This window comes from Homo sapiens, chromosome 17, assembly GCF_000001405.40.
Source record: "Homo sapiens chromosome 17, GRCh38.p14 Primary Assembly".
Lineage (NCBI taxonomy): Eukaryota > Metazoa > Chordata > Mammalia > Primates > Hominidae > Homo > Homo sapiens.
Genome location: NC_000017.11, coordinates 59,621,105 through 59,643,793, shown reverse-complemented (window position 1 = coordinate 59,643,793; position 22,689 = coordinate 59,621,105). Strand labels below are relative to the sequence as shown.

Below are 22,689 nucleotides of genomic sequence, written 5' to 3'. Positions count from 1 at the left end.
TAATTCTGTGCAAAAAGTGCCAAAACAAAGATATGTAAGAGGGATCTTGTCAAAGGCTACACAGCTAAAGCAATGTGTTCAAAGGAGGCAGGCGAGAGAATTCTCAACAGAAAGAGCATGTGGTAAAGCACAGAGACGTAAAAGTGTGGTTGGCTAAGGGAACTACAAGTACTTTTGTAACACTATAGGATTGAGGGAGTACACAATTAAGGTTAGAGAAATGAGCAAGGGCCAGACCAACAAGCTAAACATACCTCAGTAAGAATCCTGAGTTTATTCTACAGGCGAAGGGAGCTACTTAAGGATTTTAACAAGGAAAATAATGGAATTAGATTTGCTTTGTGTACTCAGAAAATACTAAAGTATCTGCTAAACAAATATAGTGGATCTAAAGATGGTAGGTCTTTGCAAACCAATTAAGTATGTAAGAACAAAAGTCACTTGTTACTAGGAAGAAATCTCTACCATAGTGGGTTATTAATACTCTGGGTGACTAACTATGTTGTAACAGATTAAGTCCTACTAAAAGAAGCTACATGGAGGCTTTATTTTATTAGCCTTGGCCAGACTAGTTTTATCCCCCTTTCCTCCAAAGGTAATATAATAAATTCGCATGGTACAAAATACACACACACACACACACACACACACACACACACACCCCAGAAAAGAAAAAGCATGGAAAAAAAAAAATCAAGTCTTTCTGTCACCCTTGTCCTCTAGCAATACAGTTTTCCTCCACAAACACCACCACTGTCACTATTATCTTATGGACTAAACCAGCCAAGTTAACTGTATTTTATTTAAATTCTCTTCTGAAACTCTTCTGCTAATAGTGCTTAAACATAACCAGGCCAGGCTCTGAATAAGATATAACATAAGACTACAAGGCTACATTTTACTTTCTCTTCACTCTTCTATCTCAATTACTACTGGTATTAAGTTATTAATGTTATAACTCAGTTATAAAGTGTAGTTACAGTAACTCAGTCACTGAATATAGGGGCAAGAAGTCAAACAACTCTCTAACCATTAATACAAACATCGTAATAAAGTAGATTAACCTGCTTTACAAGCTCAAGTATATGCTGTAATGCAAGGCAAATACACTAGCTTTAAAGTATGTAACTTATAATGTATTTAGTTATAGTAAAGCCTTATAAACCATTAATTTTAACTTCTTCCTGACTTTAACTTTTCTTTTGAGACAGGATCTCACATCTATTTTTCTGAGTAGAGGGTCCTTAGACTCCTTAAGTTTAATTGATAATTATCCTTTCCGATAATTGGAGAAAACATTCCAGTGGGCTCATAAAGTTCATAGAGCTATATACCTAAAAGCAGTAAGTTATGCTGTAAGAATCCTAAGCTACCCTGTAAGAATTCTATGTTTCTAAGTCTCTACCAAGCCTTCATCTAAGGCACTGAGTTTCACCTGTCACAGCTTAAGTCCCACAGTGTTTGAGGAAGTCGGAGTAAAAATAGTGTTAGTCAAATAGTGAAATTAAATTCAAAACCACAAAAGGAAGCAAACCACAGACACTACTAACTGAACCCCAAGTGATTCTAACAGATTCCTTCCTACTTCTCAACTTCAGAGGCAGGTGGAAGATGACTTTAAGAAAACACTATCAGAAAACAATGAGGAGGAAAAAGGAAAGTCAAAAACCTGTGTTTCCAATTCCTTGTTAGATCCCCAGAAAAAAAGCAGTAAGAAAAACACGCTGCATCAGTTAGCAATGACCTTCAGCCTCAGGGTATTTTACTTGTAAAAAAAAAAAAAAAAAAAAAAAACAACAAAGATTTGGCCTGGCACCTTGGTTCACACCTATAATCCCAGCACTTTGGGAGGCTGAGATGAGAGGATCACTTGAGCCCAGGAGTTTGATACCAGCCTGGGCAACATAATGAGACCCCATCTCTGCAAAAACTTTAAAAAATAAGGTAAATAAAAGATCTGGCTTTAAAGTGACAGAACTGCCTGCAACCCTAATCTATGTAATCCTTATATTACTTTCTCATTAAACATATGCTACCAAGAGAGCTATGCATATATATCTTTGATCTCCTTCAGGAATGTATTGGTACTAATCAAAATAGTCCATGTGGAATAGATATACTTTATTTAAAAAATGCAAAATTAAACAGGAGGCAAGTGACAAACTCTTTTTTTTTTTTTTTTTTTTTTTTGAGATGGAGTCTTGCTCTGTCGCCAGCCAGGCTGGAGTACAGTGGCTCGATCTCAGCTCACTACAACCTCTGCCTCCTAGGTTCAAGTGATTCTCCTGCCTCAGCCTCCCGAGTAGCTGGGACTACAGGAGTGCGCCAACATGCCCGGCTAATTTTTTGTATTTTAGTAGAAATGGAGTTTCACCATGTTGGCCAGGATGGTCTCGATCTCCTGACCTCATGGTCCACCTGCCTCAGCCTCAGTCTAGACAAGTCAGTCAGCCTCAGTCTAGACAAGAACAGAAAAGTAGCCTGTAACCTGTAATTCCTTCTTTTCCTCTCTCCCTCAGCCTCTACTAGTGAATGTAGTGTTATTCTACTACGAATGCAGTTATTAGAACAACAGTGATATGGGTTACTTCCCTAGGATTTATGTCCCAGTTTGAGTTAAAACACCAGCAAACATGAACATAATTCTGAAGTTGCAAGTTTTTTGTTTTTTTTTTTGAAACCGAGTCTCGCTCTGTCACCAGGCTGGAATGCAGTGGCATGATCTCGGCTTACTGCAACCTCTACCTCCCCAGTTCAAGCAATTCTCCTGCCTCAGCCTCCCAAGTAGCTGGGACTACAGGCGTGCACCACCACGTCCAGCTAATTTTTGTATTTTTAGTACAGATGGGGTTTGACCACGTTGGCCAGAATGGTCTCGATCTCTTGACCTCATGTTCCGTCCGCCTTGGCCTCCCAAAGTGCTGGGAATACAGGCATGAGCCACGGCGTCCAGCCGTGTCAAATTCTTAATAATGGCACATGTTTAAACATATTAAAAAAGCACACTTAAGTGGTGGTCATTTACACAACTGAACAGGACCCTGCTCCTTCCTATATAGCCTTCCTAATTGTGAGGAAAAAAAGACAGGAACTTCGGCTGGGCGTGGTGGCTCATGCCTGTAATCCCAGCACTTTGGGAGGCCAAGGGGGCGTGGATCACGAGGTCAGGAGATCGAGATCATCCTGGCTAACACAGTGAAACCCCGTTTCTACTAAAAATACAAAATATTAGCCGGGCCCATGGTGGCACACGCCTGTAGTCCCAGCTACTCCAGAGGCTGAGGCAGGAGAATCGCTTGTACCCGGGAGGCGGAGGTTGCAGTGAGCCAAGACCGCCCTACTGCACTCCAGCCTGAGTGACAGAGCAAGACTTTGGCAAAAAAAAAAAAAAGAACTTCAAGTGACCGTATTGGCTAAGAGAAGGTTAAATTTGCTTCCACCTCTTCAAATAAGGTAGGTAAGATTGTTTTCCTTACTGATGTTCCTTTTGAGTGAGAATGTCTAGAACACTCAGCAATTCTTCCCATATTTTCCTGTTATATACTCAAAAGAGAAATATGCCAAAGCACACAATAATAGGACAAGTCACTCTTATTAACTGCAAGTCTGGTTTAGGTATACCCTTACAGTAGGAGCATGTAACAGGGTGGCCAAACTATATAACTATGTCTAGTAATATCAATATAGATTAAAACTTTTAAAATGCAACATATTTTTAAACAGGTTTTATTTTCAAAACAGCACATAGTAACCATAAAGTATTCTCAGTCAGTTATAAAGGTGTGATGGCATATAAGCTATACCACAGAAACTGAATTGTATTTTTATTCTTTATTTATTGAGACAGGGTCTTGCCCTGTTGCCCAGGCTGGAGTGCAGTGGTACCACTGCAGCCTCGACCTCCCAGGCTCAAGTGATCTTCCTACCTCAGCCTCCTCAGTACCTGAGACTACAGGCGCCACCATGCCTGGCTAATTTTTTTTTTTTTTTAAGAGACAGGTTCTCCCTATGTTACCCAGGCTGGTCTCGAACTCCTGGGCTCAAGTAATCCTCCCAGCTCGACCTCCCAGTGTTGGGATTACAGGTATGAACCACTGTACCCAGCCATAAACTGAATTATACACTATGGAACTAAGCATGGATAAAGTCAAAGGACATATACAACATTCTCTATAAACTTGCAGGTATTTTCAGAGGACATATCTGAAATACATGTAATATATCTGGATACATGTATCCAAACTACAGCTACATTTTATTATCCTCTCAATCTGCAAAATGCCATTAGTGTTGAAGCTGGAGATATCCTATTTTAACATATGCTTGGAAATTCCTATGATAAAGTTTTTTTTAACTTAAAAGAATTTTTATTTTGCTGTTATAAGAATATGGAGTCAATAAACTGGGTCCAAAAAAAGGGGCTTGTTTTTTTGAATAGTTATCACGTGCATACAGTAAAGCACTAAAATCTTACAAAAGGTTATACTATGAAAAGTCACCCACCCCGTCTTTCCAGTAATACCCTTCTCCCCTAAGCAATTAGAGATACTTTTGCATTTCAGAGTTATCCTGTAGCATATGAAAGTATGTATTTCCTCCGCCCTTTTCCAACAGAATGGCACAAGACACAAAAGTATACAAATAAACTGCTTCCTTGTTTTTACAGAAAAGCACCCAAACTTTGTAACTCATTTGGTTTCCAGATTCGATTTTGGTCTGCAAGTGGCACTACTTTAGGACTTGACACCTAAACCTGGATCTAAAAAGGCAATTAAACAAATTTATTCCCTATTTATTCTTTAAAACTCTGAAGTACCCTGGAGTTACATGTTACAAATGATTTTAAAATGCATCTCCTTCCTTCTCCATTCCAACTTCTATTAACAGGGGGAGGTGGGGAGTAAAAGGTAGGATTCTGTTTTTATAATGAGAAAATAGTACTTCGGCTTCCCCATAATCTAGAGCAGGGATCCCGAACCACAGGCCGCAGACCAGTATTCCGTTAGCAACTGGGCCACACAGAAGAAGGTGAGCAGCCAATGAGCAGTCATCACCGCCTGAGCTCTACCTCCTGTCATTTCAGCCACGGCATTAGATTCTCATAGGCACGCGAACCCTATTGTGAACTGTGCAAGCGAGGGATCTAGGTTGCTCACTCCTTATGAGAATCTAACGAATGCCTTGTGATCTGAGGTGAAACAATTTCATCTGAGACCATCCCACCCCCACTCCCACCCCCAACCGGTGGAAAAATTTTCTTCCACAAAACTGGTCCCTGGTGCCGCCAAAAAGGTTGTGGACCACTGATCTAGAGAACACAGGCTGTGTTTATGTTTTCTCATATGAAACATTTGAGATGACAGTATCTATCTCAGAGGTGTGAAGATTTAATGTGAATGCAAAGAACAATGCCTGACATCTAACAGCTCAACAGATATTGCCTTCTGTTTTTTTTTAAGAGACAGGGTCTTGCTCTGTCACCCAAGCTGGAGTGCAAGAGATAGGGTCTTGCTCTGTCACCCAAGCTGGAGTGCAGTGATGTGATCACAGCTCACTGTATCCTTAAACTCCTGGGATCAAGCAACCCAGAGCTCACTGATATTAACTATTAATACATACAACATATCAGTACTTTAAGCCAGCTCAAGGTTAGCTTTTTTGCATTTGCATTTTATTATCTGCTTAATTCAGCTGTCCATAGGTTGGCTGAAACTCTGGGTGTGAATTTCTTTCAACTACTGATACTAGATTAGTGGTCTCTGGGTGCTTAACTGCCTCAGACACTATGAAATGCCTTTTTTTTTTTAAAGTTTGTTTTTGTTGGGGAAGTGAGGAGAAAAGGAAATTACACTTTAGGACTTCCAATTCTTTTTTTTCTCATACAGGGTCTTGCTCTGTGGCCCAGGGTGGAATTCAGTGGCACAATCATGGGTCACTGCAGCTTCAACCTCCTGGGCTGCTTAATTCAGCTGTCCATAGGTTGGCTGAAACTCTGGGTGTGAATTTCTTTTAACTACTGATAATAGATTAGCCTTCCAAATAGATGGTACCACCCATACGCCACCATGCCCAGCTAATTTTTTTTTTTTTTTTTTGTAGAGATAGGCAGCACTTTGTTTCCCAGTCTGGTCTCCAACTCCTGGGCTTAAGGGATCCTCCCACCTCAGCCTCCCAAAGTGCTGGGATTACAGGCATGAGTCACTGTACCCGGCTAAAAAAAAAATTTTTTTTTTTTTTTTAAGAAACTTCAGGCTGGGCACGGTGGCTCATGCCTGTAATCCCAGCACTTTGGGAGGCCGAGGCGGGCGGATCATGAGGTCAGGAGATTGAGACTATCCTGGCTAACACAGTGAAACCCCGTCTCTACTAAAAATACAAAAAATTAGCCAGGTGTGGTGACGGGCACCTGTAGTCCCAGCTACTCGGGAGGCTGAGGCAGGAGAATGGCGTGAACCCAGGAGGCGGAGCTTGCAGTGAGCCGAGATTGTGCCACTGCACTCCAGCCTGGGCGACAGAGCAAGACTCCGTCTCAAAAAAAAGAAAAGAAACTTCAGAGACATAACTGAAAGCAGTATGAGCTTTCTTGGATTCTGATTTAAACCAAACAACATTTAGGGACAATGAGGAAAATATGAATATGGACTGGTTTTCTGATATTGTTCTTAAATATCAGGGAGCTATAAATAATATTATGATTATAAGAAAATGTCCTGGCCAGGTACGGTGGCTCATTCCTGTAATTCCAGCACTTTGGGAGGCTAAGGTGGGTGGATTACCTGAGGTCAAGAGTTCAAGACCAGCCTGGCCAACATGGCAAAACCCCATCTCTACTAAAAATACAAAAAAAAAAAAAAAAAAAAAGAATTAGCCGGGCATGGTGGTGGGCACCTGTAATCCCAGCTACTCGGGAGACTGAGGCAGGAGAATCGCTTGAACCCGGGAGGCAGAGGCTGCAGTGAGCCAAGATCGTGCCATTGCACTCCAGCCTGGGCAACAAGAGTGAAACTCCATCTCAAAAAGAAAAAGAAAGAAAATGTCCTTATTTTCTAAAGATGCAAGCTGAAGTGTTTACAGGTAAAATATGATAGCCTGACTTTATTTAAAATGTTTAAGCAAAAGAAACAAATACAAGCAAATACAAGACTGGGTATGGTGGTTCACACCTGTAATCCCAGTGCTTTGGAGGTTGAGATGGGAGGATAGCTTGAGGCCAGGAGTTCGGTTCAAGACCAGCCTGGGCAACAAGGGAAGCAGAGGTTGCAGTGAGCTGAGATCGCGCCACCGCACTCCAGCCTGGGCGACAGAGCAAGACTCTGTCTCCAAAAAAATAAAAAATAAAAATAAAAAACACATCAGCAATGAGACTCAGAAATCTACGTTGAATGCTCATCAGTTTTTAATGGTTTAAACTTTGTTTTTCCTGTCTTGGTTTTAAAAATATACTCCATTTGATTGTAAATATGGAAAATGGAAAGGGAAAAAAAGTATCCATCCTTACTTGAGAGGGAGCAAAGCAGCATGCCTAGGTGCTCCATGAAAGGTTAAGGTGATTTAACACACATCAAGCACTTAGTGTGGGAGCACAGAGCACTCCATTATTTGATGAACTTCTAGTTCTGGGACTATGGTATTATGATATAGACTGTTTTTTTTTTTTTTGAGACGTAGTTTCGCTCTTGTTGCCCAGGCTGGAGTGCAATGGCACGATCTCGGCTCACAGCAACCTCCACCTCCCGGGTTCAAGCCATTCTCCTGCCTCAGCCTCCGGAGTAGCTCAGGCTGGTCTCGAACTCCCGACCTCAGGTGTCTGCCTGCCTCGGCCTCCCAAAGTGCTGGGATTACAGGCATGAGCCACCACGCCTGGCCGATATAGATTGTTCTTAAACAGACTGGTTTTAGCATCATGCTACTGTTATATACTCAAACCTTACCTGGGCCAATTCGCTTTGTTCACATGCTCCTAAAGACAGAATGGGGAAACCCTGATACATCAAGGAATCAGGAAACTTAATGGTGTTGTATGAGCATCTTAACAGAATATATTAGTGATCAAACTATGAAAATATTGTTAAGAGGACCAAAGAGGCCATGGTCCTATTAATATATTTAATTCAATACTATATACCTTAAGAAGGGCAGAAAATGCTAGCTTAAGACATACAACCAAATAAAACCATAATTTTTTCAAGGCCCAATTCTTAAACTATCTAAAGACAACTCTCCATTAGCACCAAGGCACACTCTCAGCAATCATTCATAATCTATCTGTTTGTGCCTACAGACGCCACATAATTAAAGGAGTAATAGGTTTGCTTTGAGCCTACTAATTTCAACCAGCAGTTCTCACATCTGATTAGTTAAGAATAAACTCATTGGAAATTGGCTTCTCTGTAAGTATACCTAAGGAGTTTGCTTCCTAATGAATCATAGATTTGTAGTATAACTCATTTACCAGCTTTATCAGCTGAAAATCAAACTACATGAAAACTGGTTTATGACAGCATTACTAAGGACTTATGTTTCACAATTATTGCTTGGCTTCACATTTTCCAGATCCTCCTTGTTTCATCTGAATAGGGAAAATGTAAAGGAAGTATGTATGAGCTACTGTTTTTCAGATGGAGCTATTTTCTGCAAATGAATCTTGTATCTTACCAAGGACTTTAGAAGTGTTACCACTGTAGAGTTAATAGGTCAACAATCTGAGAGACCTGCTGATACTTGTATGTCATTCTGATACCATTCATCTCTCAATACAAGCATTTTTAAGTCAGTACTTAAAGATTTGGTTAACTTCCTAACCCAAGTATTTCACTAAACATAATTTCCTTTAAAAGCTCCTAAACATCCTCTACCTTCTCTAGTATCAGTCGCGGTGAAAAAAGATGCTGACAGCAGTCACTTCATTGAGCCCTTCCTGGAAACTAGCAGAATGTCAAATAAAAACTGCAGTTGCTGTATTCTACAGGAAATAAGAAATGCTGAGAATGCAGCATTCCTTTAGTTCTTCCATCAACAGGATACCAACCACTGTTTTCTGTAGGCTCCACAGATTTCAAGCAACAAATAAAAATGCCTTTAACCCTTGCTGTCCCCACATTTAAACATATAGTTTTTTTCTACTCCATGTTAGCCTTTGAGAGAATCACTGGCTCTTAGAATTTTTGATTCTGGTCACAAACTCCAAATTTAAGCAATATATTCAGGAAGCAACCACAGTTGGAGAGAGGTTGTCAGACTATTATTAGCTTTGGTAAACTACCAGGAGACTCAAAGAATTTTTCCTACTTGTAATCAACTGCTGATTGGAAATTTTCAAAAACTTTATATTTAATGCATTCTTAAAAAATAAGCCAATAATTAGATGATATCAGATCAATTAGGCCAATGTTAACCAAGCTGCAGGGAAATACAGGAGTTTTTATGCCCCAAATCTTGGAGATGGATATGACTTACCAAGATTATGCCCCCCGTATAAATGCAATTCAGCAGCACAAAACAACCACAGCTACATTCAATGGCAGGGGTGAGAAGTTGTGCAGAATATATCCAAACCTACCAAATGGGCTTACTTTGAGGGTTCAAGGCCAGGCATAGTGGCTCATGCCTGTAATCCCAGCACTTTTGCAGGCCAAGGTGGGAGGACCTCTCGAGCCCAGGTGTTCAAGACCAGCCTGGGCAACATGGCGAGACCCTGTCCCTACAAAAAATAAAAAAACTGTCCAGGCGTGGTGGTGTGCACCTGTAGTTCTAGCTAGTTGGCAGGCTGAGGTGGGAAGATTGTTTGAGTCCAGGAGGCAGAGGCTGCAACAAGCTGTGACTGCACCCCTGCACTTCAGCCTGGGTGACAGAGCAAGACCCCATCTCAAAAAATATATATAATACTTATTGCTGACTTAGCATAAAGGATGTTATAAATGAATGTAACCAGGGAGACATTAAAGGCTTGGTTTCCTGATATGAATAAAACATCTGGACAGTCTCCTTAATATTCAAGTTATAAAGATCCTTGATAAACTTCATTCTATGACACAACTTCCCAGCGACTTCACAAAATGTACATTTAAGTGGGAGCCTAGTGTTACATTCTGTCAACCCCATCACTATTGTACATATTCATGTTATCTTTCTACCCTATACTGAGGGACCTGCCAGGAAATTAGACATTATGCTCTATCCCACATTATTCTAGTTAGATCAATCATTTAAGGCATACTCAGTCTACCAGGTGCTACAAGTTATAAGACTAGAACCATTTTATTTTACAATTGAGTCACTAGAGTATTTTTTTTTCTTTTTTTGAGATGGAGTCTCGCTCTGTCGCCCAGGCTGGAGTGCAATGGCATGATCTCAGCTCACCACAACCTCTGCCTCCCGGGTTCAAGCCATTCTCCTGCCTCAACCTCCTGAGTAGCTGGGACTACAGGCATGCACCACCACGCCCAGCTAATTTTTGTATTTTTTCAGTAGAGACGGGGTTTCACCATGTTGGCCAGGCTGGTCTCAAACTCCTGATCTCAAGTGATCCACCCACCTTGGCCTCCCAAAGTATTGGGATTACAGGAGTGAGCCACTGCACCCAGCCTGGAGTGTTTTCCTGTGAGCTTAAATGCCACAAATACTGTTTTCAAATGAGTGAATGAATTAACTAACAATCAGCATGAGGAGTTACAGATTATCTCAAAATGATTTAATATTAACAAATTCAGGGAGTTCAAAATGACATTAAAATGATTAAAATGACATTAAAATGATTAAAATGACAACCACCATGATTTGCTTTCAATTAATACATATTGAGCATCCATTATTTAGCAACTTAACACAAACTCAATATTTTAAGTACAATTTTTGTGTGAAACTGTCCCCTTTGCTTATTTTGTGCTAAGATTATAACTTTGTCATTACTAGTGAGGAAACAACCTATAGGAGAAAAAACAGGTTTTAGGCTCTCAGAGGCTCTTTGGGGGTTCAAATTGTGATTCATGTCTTCTAAAAACAAGTGAAGACACTTTCCATCTCAAAAACTATAGACACTGCTTCACTATCTAAAATTCAGGGTTAAAAAACTAGTATTACTTTGATTTTTTTGGTCAGGAAGAGGATGTGCCCTAGATGCTTATAGTTTTAGGGATTTTTTTGTTTGTTTTTGAGACAGAGTCTCGCTCTGTCGCATAGGCTGGCATGCAGTGGCGCAATCTCGGCTCACTGCAACCTCCGGCTCCTGGGTTCAAGCAATTCTTGTGCCTTGGCCTCCCGAGTTTGTTTTGTTTTTTTAAATTCATGGTATTACAACTTCTTCAGGCCTGTTCCAAACACTAAGCCCTTTTAATTTTGGTTCTTTCAAATTACAAAAGTTTTCTTTCATTGAAAAGAGCTTCCATTCCAATTATTTTGGTTTCTAAAAATCTTTTTTTTTTTTTTTTGAGATGGATTCTTGCTCTTTCGCCCAGGCTGGAGTGCAGTGGAGCTATCTTGGCTCACTGCAAGCTCCGCCTCCTGGGTTCACGCCATTCTGCTGCCTCAGCCTCCCGAGTAGCTGGGACTACAGGCACCCGCCACCGCGCCCAGCTAATTTTTTGTATTTTTAGTAGAGACGGGGTTTCACCGTGTTAGCCAGGATGGTCTCGATCTCCTGACCTCGTGATCCGCCCGCCTCACCCTCCCAAAGTGCTGGGATTACAGGCGTGAGCCACCACACCCAGCCCGGTTTCTAAAATTCTTAAATTTGTAACCTATTCTGTCACACACACAAACACACACACACCACTTTTACTTAATTCTGGGATTTACTTCTAAACTAAAATCTTTTTTTTTTTTTTTTGAGATAGGGTCTCACTCTGTCCGCCAGGTTTGAGTGCAGTGGCATGACTTCAGCCTACTGCAACCTCCACTTCCCAGGCTCAGGTGATCCATCCACCTCAGCCTCCCAAGTAGATGGGACTACAGGCGCATGCCACCACACCTGGCTAATTTTTTATTTTTTGTAGAGATAGGGTTTTGCCATGCTGTCCAGGCTAGTCTCGAATGCCTGGGTTGAAGCAATCCACCTACTCTGGCCTCCCAAAGTGATGGGGTTACAGGCGTGAGCCACTGCACCCAGCCTAAATTCAAAATCTTTTTAAAAAATCTTGTTACTCCTTCCACATTGCTGATTCATTCCACAGAGTATGAATTCCAGTTCTGCTCTTAACTGATTTCAGAACCAATTGTTTATGTATGTTTTCTGTTATTACATCCCATTATCTCCATAGGTCTTTCTGTTCCTTTTACATCAACTTTTGCTGCATGCCACAGATGATGTCAACAATTTTCTAAAGTTTTCTTTGCAGAAAAAAATTTCTAGTATTTCTTCAGATCTCTCCCTAGCTCTGTAGTTTTCCCAATAATCATATACTTAAAAAATGCCTGAGCAGCTACTGTGTGCCAGACACTACACTAATGCAGAGAGTTCTACAGCAAATGAGACACTCCCACTCAGTATACGTAACAGGTACACAGCAATTACAAAAATGCCATGAAGTTACAGGGATGTATGCCTAGCACAGATACATGTAGGGGTATATGCAGTGTCTCAGAAGAAACGGAAACAATCTGAAACAGGATACACAATATAAGGGAGGGCAGGGCTACAGAGTTTGGGAGCAGACACACAGAATTAAAAATACCATATAGGCCCAAATAAGGTACTTATTTTCCCAATTAGACGAATCATCCCAACACCCCAAAAAGCTGTCAGAAGATGTGAAGAAAATGGAACTCTCATATATTTCTAGTGGGCATGTCAAATGGTGCCACCACTGTGGAAAACGGTTTCGTGGTCTCTCAAAAAGTTGAAACAGAGAAATTACCATATGACCCAGCAATTCCACTTCTAAGTATATATCTAGAAGAACTGACAACAGGCATTCAAACAAAAACTTGTACATGAATGTTTGCAACACCACTAGTCACAATAGCCAAAAGGTAGAAAGAACCCAAATGTCCACCAACTGATGAAAGGACAAATAAAACACTGATATATCCATTCAGCAAAGTATTATTCAGTCATAAAGGAATGAAGTCTGATATATGCTATAACATGGATGCTTAGTGAAAGAAGTTAGAAACAAACGGTCCTTTATTGTATAATTCCATTTATGTGAAATATCCAGAACAGGTAAATCCATAGAGACAAAAAGCAAATTAGCAGTTGCTAGCGGATGGGAGGAGGGGGATGGGAGAGGGACTGCTTCACGTGTATGGGGTCTCCTTTTGGGGAGATGAAAATGTCTTGGAACTAGATACAGGTGTTGGCTGCACGACACTGTGAATGCACTAAATACCACTAAATTGTTCACTTTAAAATGGTTAATTTTGTTATGTGAGTTTTATCGCAATTGAAAAAGTTTTGATCCCTTTTCATTATAAACTCTTAGGGATTAGATATATTTAATGTACAATTCAACTAGTCATTTTGCTTACTTTACAGACATTTAAAATTATAAAATTAGGCCAGGCACAGTGGCTCCTGCCTGTAATCCCAGCACTTTGGGAGGCCGAGGCAGGCAGATTGCTTGGGCTCAGGAGTTCGAGGCCAGCCTGGGCAACATGGCCAAAGCCCATTTCTACAAAAAAATACAAAAATTGGCTGGGTGTGGTGGCACACGCCTGTAGTCCTAGCTACTTGGGAGGCTGAGGTGAGAGGATGGCTGGAGCCTGGGAAGTTGAGGCTGTGGTAAGCCATGATCTCGCCACTGTACTCCACTTGAGACAGAGCAAGACCCTGTCTCAAAAAACAAAACACACAAAATTATATTTAAACTCTGCATATGCATTTTTGACATCAGCACTGGAAAGTCATCTCCATTTCACAATGCTTTTCAAAAATCCATTACAGAGCAATCATAATGGTGCAGTTTTGTAACATCAAATCTATTTGCGTTATCAGGAGAGTTGTTTTTCTCTTATCTTTCTATGTAAATTATGATCTCTAGGCTGGGTGTGGTGGCTCATGCCTGTAATCCCAGCACTTTGGGAGGCCAAAGCAGGCGGATCACAAGGTCAGGAGTTCAACACCAACCTGGACAACATGGTGAAATCCCATCTGTACTAAAATTACAAAAATCAGCCAGGCATGGTGGCGGGCACCTGTAATCCCAGCTACTTGGGAGGCTTAGGCAGAAGAACCGCTTGAACCCGGGAGGCAGAAGTTGCAGTGAGCCAAGATCATGCCACTGTACTCCAGCCTGGGCGACAGAGCAAGACTCCATCTCAAAAAAAAAAAAAAAAAAAATTATGATCTCTAGAAACATGCCCGAATGGACTGCTTTTCACGGGATATTTAAATCATCTGCTTATAACATCCAACAGTTCCAACTGTGAGGCCATACACAGGAGAATTTTAGATGTGTAAAATTTGTCTCTCACTAATCCAGTTGATTTCAAGCCTACAGCAGCCTTTGCCAAACAGCATTCTGGTGCTCAGAACAGAAGCAACTGTGAGAGGACACAATACTATGGAGATTCAGTAAGGCTTTTAATAAGGAGACTCTTTCCTGAGGATATCTGTGGTAAAATAAAGAAACCTGCCTTAGATTTTCATAGTTCAATATGACCAAATATAGAATATTGCAGAGACTGGAGAAAGAGATGGGTTTTTGTAAACCATGTTCTCTCTACACGTTTTTCCCCCTTATTATTCATCTTTAAATAATGAGATCTATCCAAAGTCAGCTGTTTGCCAAGCAGAGCATATATACTGACAGTCTTTAGCTTCAGTCTGTCCACTTTGGTGGTTTTTTTTAAGCCACCTTTCTCAGATGAGCAGCTAATCAGAAATAAATGCAAGTTGGCCAGGCACGATGGCTCACGCCTGTAATCCCAGCACTTTGGGAAGCTGAGGAGGGTAGATTATTTGAGGTCAGGAGTTTGAGACCAGCCTGGCCAACATGGTGAAACCCCATCTCTACTAAAAATACAAAAAAAATTCGCCAGGCCTGGTGGCGGGCCCCTGTAGTCCCAGCTACTCAGGAGGCTGAGGCAGGAGAATTGCTTGAACCTGGGAGGCGGAAGTTGCAGTGAACCAAGATTGCACCACCGTACTCCAGCCTGGGCAACAGAGTCAACTCCCAATCCAATTCTCGTTTTTTCGTCTTCTATGACTCCCAGTTTCAACCTAGGGTCATGAAAAACTGTCATCCCTGAGACCCCCAGTGTGCATCACTGAGGAACTCCAGAAATCGACGGATGCAGAAAATGAGAAATTAGAGAGTCTGGTGTAACTTCAAGATCTTGGCTTCAATAACTGGGTAGATGGTAGTTTTTCTCCTTTAGTACGGCACATATATTCAACTCAAGTGGACAAAGGGAAACTCTTCCAGGGTGGAGGGGAAGAACTAATATTCGAGTGCCTGTAAGGGGTTAAGGGGCTAAATATTATACTACAAATACAAAAACATACTGTAGTCTAACTTTAAAATTGCCAGGAAATATTGTTTTAATAAATGAGGAAGTTGAGACAAGTTGAAAACCTGACATAATCAATAGATAAGCCCAGATTAAACATCTGAGACATTTTCCAGAATAGCACACTGCAGAGTTTTTTAATGTGACAAAATATGGCTTTAATGGATCTGGTTCCTATTCTTTCAGCAATAATCTTTAAAACCGTCTTACTTCAGAACTTGAAGAAAATCCTTATTTACCTAAGGATTAGGAACAAGAAGTATTAACAGTACTGGCAGTCTGCCTCCAAAGCACAACCCTACAAGTCTGTAACCATTTTCCTTTCTACCATGATGCTACTCAAAATGAGCAAATATATTCCATTGTCACCTTCATTTCCTATCCCTTTCATGCACAACTGCCTTCGTTGAGTTCAAGCTTCTATTTCTTGGCATAAACACAAAAACATGAATTTACAGTAAAATAGAAAGCAGAAGTTTCCTCCTTTCACAAGTGGCTTCAGACTGGAACACACTCATTCTTTTCAGTAAGAAAAAGTCTATAGAAAAGTGTGACAAGTTCAGTCTTATGAGAGGGATGCAGACAATCCTGGTTACAAGTTAACCGGATCCCAATCATCCTGCACAATTTTCCAATAGGAAACAGGATAAAGTCCTTAAAAAAGATACAGCTAAATAATCATTCAAGGCATAAAGTCAGATGTTAGTTTGCTGTCTCCTACTTTTCTCATAATATAAAAAATATTTCACGATAAACAAACGACAGTACTACTAGAATCAAAGAACATCACAGCATAGATATAAACAATTGTGGTACATTTTGCAATTCAAATGATACAGACCATTTACCAAATGAGGCAATGAGCCAAATGAAAGAATAAATATTAAAAGTCTGACTGCTCACTAGCTGTGTGACTCTAAAAGTTACCTACTATGAACTTCAGTTGCCCAATCTCTACAATAAGGCTAATCTGACCTAAGCACAAGGGTTCTCTTGCTAATTAAATGAGATAATAAACATTAAATATTTAATACAGTTCTTGGCACGTAATAGGTGCTCAAACAACTATAATGGCCCATGTATTTTGATTTTATGGATTAGATTACAGGACAATTAAGATTTGAATAGTTACTGCCTCAAAAATAGGACAAGGCTTGGTGTCTCACACTTGTAATTTCAGCACTTTGGGAGGCTGTGGCAGGTGGACTGCTTGAGCCCGGGATTTTGAGACCATCCTGGGAAACATGGCAAAACCCCGACTCTACAAAAAAAATACAAAAATTAGCCGGGTTTGGTGGCGCACGCCTGTAGTCCCAGCTATTTAGGGAGCAGAGGTGGGAGGATTACCTAAGCCCAGGGAGGTCAAGGCTGCAGTGAGCCTTGATCATGCCACTGCACTCCAGCCTGGGCAACAGAGTGAGACCCTGTCCCCACCCCCCAAAAAAAGTAGGACAAAAATATCTTAAATTATGTCTTAATTTAAGGAGATAATACAAAAGAAGAGACTCACAAAAGTCTGACAGATGGGTTTTGCATAACACATTTAGGTCCAAGCTTTCAGCCATCTTTTGAGTTAAGAGCATTAGCCATAGGCACTTAACCAAGAAGCAAAGACAAGACACCCAGAGCTGTAAACTTTGCTGTGGCTCAGAAGACAGGTTTATTTCATGAAGTAGTTTTGGCATGGCATATAGTGCATGAACTTAGAGAAACAGCCTCATTCTAATATACAGGACTAAAATATCAGCCATGAACCTACTGCTCATCTAAGTGAGAAGATTCACTTCAACACTACCACCCTAAAAAAGGACACATACAACACATACAATAACTCTAACAATCGCCTGACCGGCATTCCATATGGGTATTTTATCCGATATGATTCATTAAGTTTTTTTTTCAAATATGTCTGTTCAAGGAACCCTAATTTAAAATGTACCAGTGGCACACAATGAGACTCGTGGAACATAATAAAAGATTTATTTAAAAGTTTCTTTTTGGGGGGCAGTTTCAGAGTGTAATCAACTTTGTATCATATCAATATTTGTATTAAACTGTGCACAATATCAAATGTTCGAACACATAAAAGATCCACAATCAAGTAGACAACATCAATGGTTGGAATAACAAGTGTACAGCCTTTGCCAACTCATCAATGGAAGCATGAATGCAAGGTGTAGTCCATCTTGTTTACCACCTTGTCCCTAGAGTCTAACACAGTTCCTCATCTGCAGTAAGTACTCAAATCTTAGGTAAATGTGTTAACCCCAAATACTTATACACCATAAAACACTGGATCTGTAAATGAATATTGTGTCATTGGTTGAGATACCTGAATAAAATGTACTGGACAAAAATTATTTAGCCAATAATTAATGCTCCTAAAATGCTACGTAAAGTACTTTCACATACATGATCTCAGATCCTCATAATAACTTTGTGAGATAAGTATGCCCATTTCCCAGAGAAAAAAAAGCAAGAGGTTAGACTTAACCTGTGTTGTCCAATATGGTAACCACAAGTCACAACCTACATACCATAATGAGCACTTGAAATGTGGTTACCGTAATTTTAAAGTAATTAAAATTAAATAATAACCAGTAAGTGATTCAATTACTGGAAAACTTAAGTATGTTTGGGATCACTGAAGTATTGCATATCTGCTTTCCTTTTTCTTCATTTTTGTTTGTTTAATATAGAGACGAGGTCTTAACTCTGTTACCCAGGCTGGTCTTGAATTCCTGGGCTCAAACAATGCTCCTACCTTGGCTCACAAAGTGCTGAGTTTACAGGCATGAGCCACTACCCCCAGCCCCAAATCTGCCTTTCTAACTGTAAATTTTATGAACTCTAAATACGGACCAGGATTTCCAAAGAAAATAGGGTCTGAATTGATATATGCTCTAAGTACAAAATATACATAGCCGGGCACGGTGGCTCACACCTGTAATCCTAACACTTCGGGAGGCCGAGGCAGGCATTTCACGAGGTCAAGAGATTGAGACCATCCTGACCAACATGGTGAAACCCCATCTTTACTAAAAATACCAAAAAATAAAAATAAAAAAAAAATAGCTGGGCGTGGTAGCACGCGCCTGTAGTCCCAGCGACTCGGGAGGCAGAGGCAGAAGAATCACTTGAACCTGGAAGGCGGAGGTTGCAATGAGCCGAGATCCACCATTGCACTCCAGCCTGGCGACAGAGTGAGACTTTGTCTCAAAAAAAAAGAAAAAAAAACCACACACACTAGATTTAGAAAATTTAGTATGAAAAAGAATGTAAGGTATCTCATTAGTAAATTTTATACTGATTACATATTGAAATAATATTTTGCATATCCCAAGTTAAATAAAATATATTAAATTTAATTTTATCTGGGCATGGCATGGTGACTCACGCCTGTAATCCCAGCACTTTGGGAGGCCAAGGCGAGCAGATCACTTGAGCCCAATAATTTGAGACCAGCCTGAGCAATATAGCAAGACTCTGTCTCTACCAAAAAAACCCAAAATTAATTAATTTTATGTTTTTTCACTTTTAATATGGCTGCTAGAAAACTTAAAAAATTATTTATATGAGGCCAGGAGCAGCAGCTCATGCCTATAATCCCAGCACTTTGGGAGGTCGAGGTGGGCAGATCATTTGAAGTCAGGAGTTGAAGACCAGCCTGGCCAACATGGTAAAACCCCATCTCTACTAAAAATGGAAAAATTAGCCAGGCATGGTGGCAGACACCTAAAATCCCAGCTACTTGGGAGGCTGAGGCAGGAGAATCACTTGAACCTGGCAGGTGGAGGTTGCTGTGAGCCGAGATCGCACCACTGCACACTAGTCTAGGTGACAGAGGACAGAGTGAGACTCTGTCTCAAAAAAAAAAAAAAAAAAAAAAAAAGTATGTGGCTCATATTATTTTTCTATTGGACAGCATTTGTTTCAACAACCCCTAAAGCCCTCCCTGTTCTGTCTACTATACCACATTGTTAATCTATAAACAAGTAGAGAGAACTCACCTCTCTGGGCCTAAGTCCAACAGACAAAAAGCACTCTAGGATACTGTATAACTTCTTTTTTTAAGGTCAATTATCCAATTTCTTTGAAATATTTTGTGTCAGAAGACTCAGGTACACATCCCATTCGGACAGCATTCCCACTACTTTATGAGTCTCACTTTTTAGAAAGGTGTCTGGGGGGATTGAGTGAAGATCTGAAAGTACCTAGCCAAATTTACAGCACATAATAAGGTCTCAAGAAGTCTGCTGCTAGTCATTGTTCATCACCACCACTTTCCAAGACAGACAGTATTCAGTTAAAACTTTTGAACAATGAGTGTTTTAATTTTAGCTAACGAAATATTCTAAATACATAAACATGAGTGGTGAGATAAATCTTCAAACTTACAAAACACATCAGCATGGCCTATAATTGTGCAGTCCAATGTAGGAGTCAATTGTCACATGTGGCTATTTACATTTAAATTAAAAAGAAATTAAAGCAAAAATTTAGTTTTTCAGTCACATCAGCCACATTTCAAGTGCTCAATATCCCTATGTAGCTGGTAGACAGTTCCATCATTGAAGAAAGTTCTACTGGACAATAACTCAAAGAGAAAAAGCCACAACGGTAACAATGACAGGGAAAACACCTTGTTAAATATAATTTGAATAACATATAAACATATGTATGGAAAAAACAATTTTGCAAAGAAGCTGAGGATTCGATATAAATGGAATCTTTTAAAAGCAAGGTACAAATTCCAATTATGGTCAGAAACAATTGTTCAAGAGCAACTACCATGGTTCCTGAAATGTGAATTTTCCTAAATACTCAAATGAAAATGATTGTGTTCTACATACACACCATTCTGTGTCTTATTTCCTAATCAGAGTGAAAGCACTTTCACTAAAATTAACCACACACTTTAAGCTGGGTAAACTGACCATCAAGAAAATTCTGAAGAATATGATACATTTTAAACTTAGAAGCTATTCCCAGGAGACTGCCGCATAATTCCAGGAAGTCTACCTCTTCCAGAGAGTACAACTAAGCATGTAGTAAATCCCAGTACTTAGCATTGCTTTCTATTCACAATCCGAACTAACTATAGCAAGAACCCCTAACATTTGACTCAACAACACATTCCATGCCTGCATCTATGGATCAAAGGGGAAAGAACAGGGTAGGGAGATTTTTAATTGAAGACCCAAAGAATCTAGGAATACAATGGAATGTGTCAAGTGGCCTAAAGATACTTAATGTGCCAGAAAATTGAAAATCACCAAAAAATTAAGAATCACAGGCAATATTTTATATATGTAGCCTAGGATTTTTATAGAATCTTCAATTCCAACAGTATCTTGCTCAAATAGGCACTCATTTATTAACTGCTATCAGTCTAAACAGTCTAGGAAAAGAGAAATCTTCATATATTCACATTCATTTGCTGTAGGTCCAAGCTTTGATGACAAGAGATCCTTCAGTTGGACAATGTAGTTAAAGGGTATAAAAATAAGTTCATTTACAGTTTCACAAGGTAACTCTACACTCACACTTAAGTTCCCCATTTCTTGTTTCCAGTTTTTATCCTACGTGTTTCAGAAAGTTTTCTGCTACTTAGCAAACTGGTAGAAGCTCAGAGGTCAAAGACCAAAGATGCCAATTAAAATAATCCTTATTAGTTGGGCTCGGTGGTTCACACCTATTATCCCAGCACTTTGGGAGGTCAAGGCAAAGGATTGCTTGAGCCCAGGCATTCGAGACTAGCCTGGGCAACATGAAACTCCATCTCTACAAAAAATACAAAAATTAGCCAGGTGTGGTGGCTCATGGCTGTAGTCCCAGCTACTCAGGATGCTGAGGTGGGAGGATGGCTTGAGCCCAGTAGGTCAAGGCTGCAGTGAGCTGTGATGGTGCCACTGACCTCCAGCAAAAACCCTGTCTCCTCAAAAAAACAAAATGCTTATTAATTTTTAAAAAGGGAGGAGATAATGATATGAAGTTAGGAGATATATTATCATGAAAGAGGCTGTAGTTATTTGGGCTCCACAATTAATCAACTGGAGCACAGTCATATTAGCTAAGCAAGCTTAAGTTTAGGCATGACATAGCAATCCAAAACACAGAGGACTGAATTTTTCAATTTGCAAATCGCTTTATATTCAAAATCTTCAAATTATTTGAGAAGAAAATGGCTTCATTCAAGCATCTGCAGAAACTTTGATCCAGTTACAAAACAGACATGTATTAAATTTGTCTTTAATAAGTGACAAGGTTGGGTTCGAATCTTTGGGATCATTTAACAATTCTTGTCTCCTCTTTAAAAGAAATGAAAAGCTATTACTCCAACCACCACAAGATTTAGTAGTGAGCTACACATCTGCCGTGGAAAATAAAGAGCAGCTGTACTTGATTCTCTGTGTGGTTTATAAACATTTGTCTGCAGAAAGATATTTCAGATGCAGTTTAATATGAAAATAAGCCCGCGTTTTCCCCTCACACTTAAGAACAGCACCCCTCAACTCTCCACATTCATTTGCCACCCCACTTTAACAAAAGCAACCACAGCAACTAAACTTGGATTGATCAAAAAAAAATGTCCATTTTGTTATTTAACATTTTTAACCCTCTGTAAAAGTGTTTTTATTGCCAAGGTATATTCCATTACTTCAGATGAGTTATTTGAAAATTATAGATGACTGAGGAAAGTGCATTATTTAACTCATTTTATGGGTAAAAATTTATTATTCTTTACATTTCAAGCCTTAAAGGAAAATAAGTCCTTGCTAGTGCAAACATGGTAATACTTGCAAAGAAATATGAAATTATGTTACTTATAGCCTGAATGTTAAAACCTTTTATTAACAAGAATCCTTTATGTATGCTATGCCAATGGGGAAATGTAAATAAAAATGGTCTTCAATGGTAAAGTGTCTAATAGGTCACTGATATCAGTGTCATGTCAAACCACTGCATTCCCTGTCATTATGGAATTAGCCCTTCAGACGACTGAGCTGAGGCAGGTTTCTTTAAGGGGATATTTGGGAAGAAAGCAAATTAATAGGAATAAATTATTTAAGCTACAGTAAAAAACAGGATTGGTGACACAGGAAAATCAAAAGCTCTGAAGAGGTTTAATTCAGTGAAGCCTTCCAATGGTCACCTGCCTAGGCCCGCCACTGGCATGTTGCCAGATAACAATATGTTGCCTCCAGGATAAGGAACCATGGGGAAGAACTCTAGAACTTA

At 39.9% G+C, this 22,689-nt stretch overlaps 1 protein-coding gene across 2 annotated transcripts in view, besides 1 other annotated feature; it reads right to left on the bottom strand.

Annotated features, from left to right (window-relative positions):
- CLTC (clathrin heavy chain) overlaps positions 1–22,689 on the bottom strand; it is a 77,062-nt gene that overhangs the window by 53,163 nt on the left and 1,210 nt on the right. The gene's annotated exons all lie outside the window — the stretch shown is intronic.
- Positions 1,453–1,532: a silencer, noted in NCBI's record as "silent region_8782". NCBI's record gives its function as "represses an Ori minimal core promoter by ATAC-STARR-seq in GM12878 lymphoblastoid cells {active_cell/tissue: GM12878}" and the evidence as "EXISTENCE:reporter gene assay evidence [ECO:0000049][PMID:35858748]".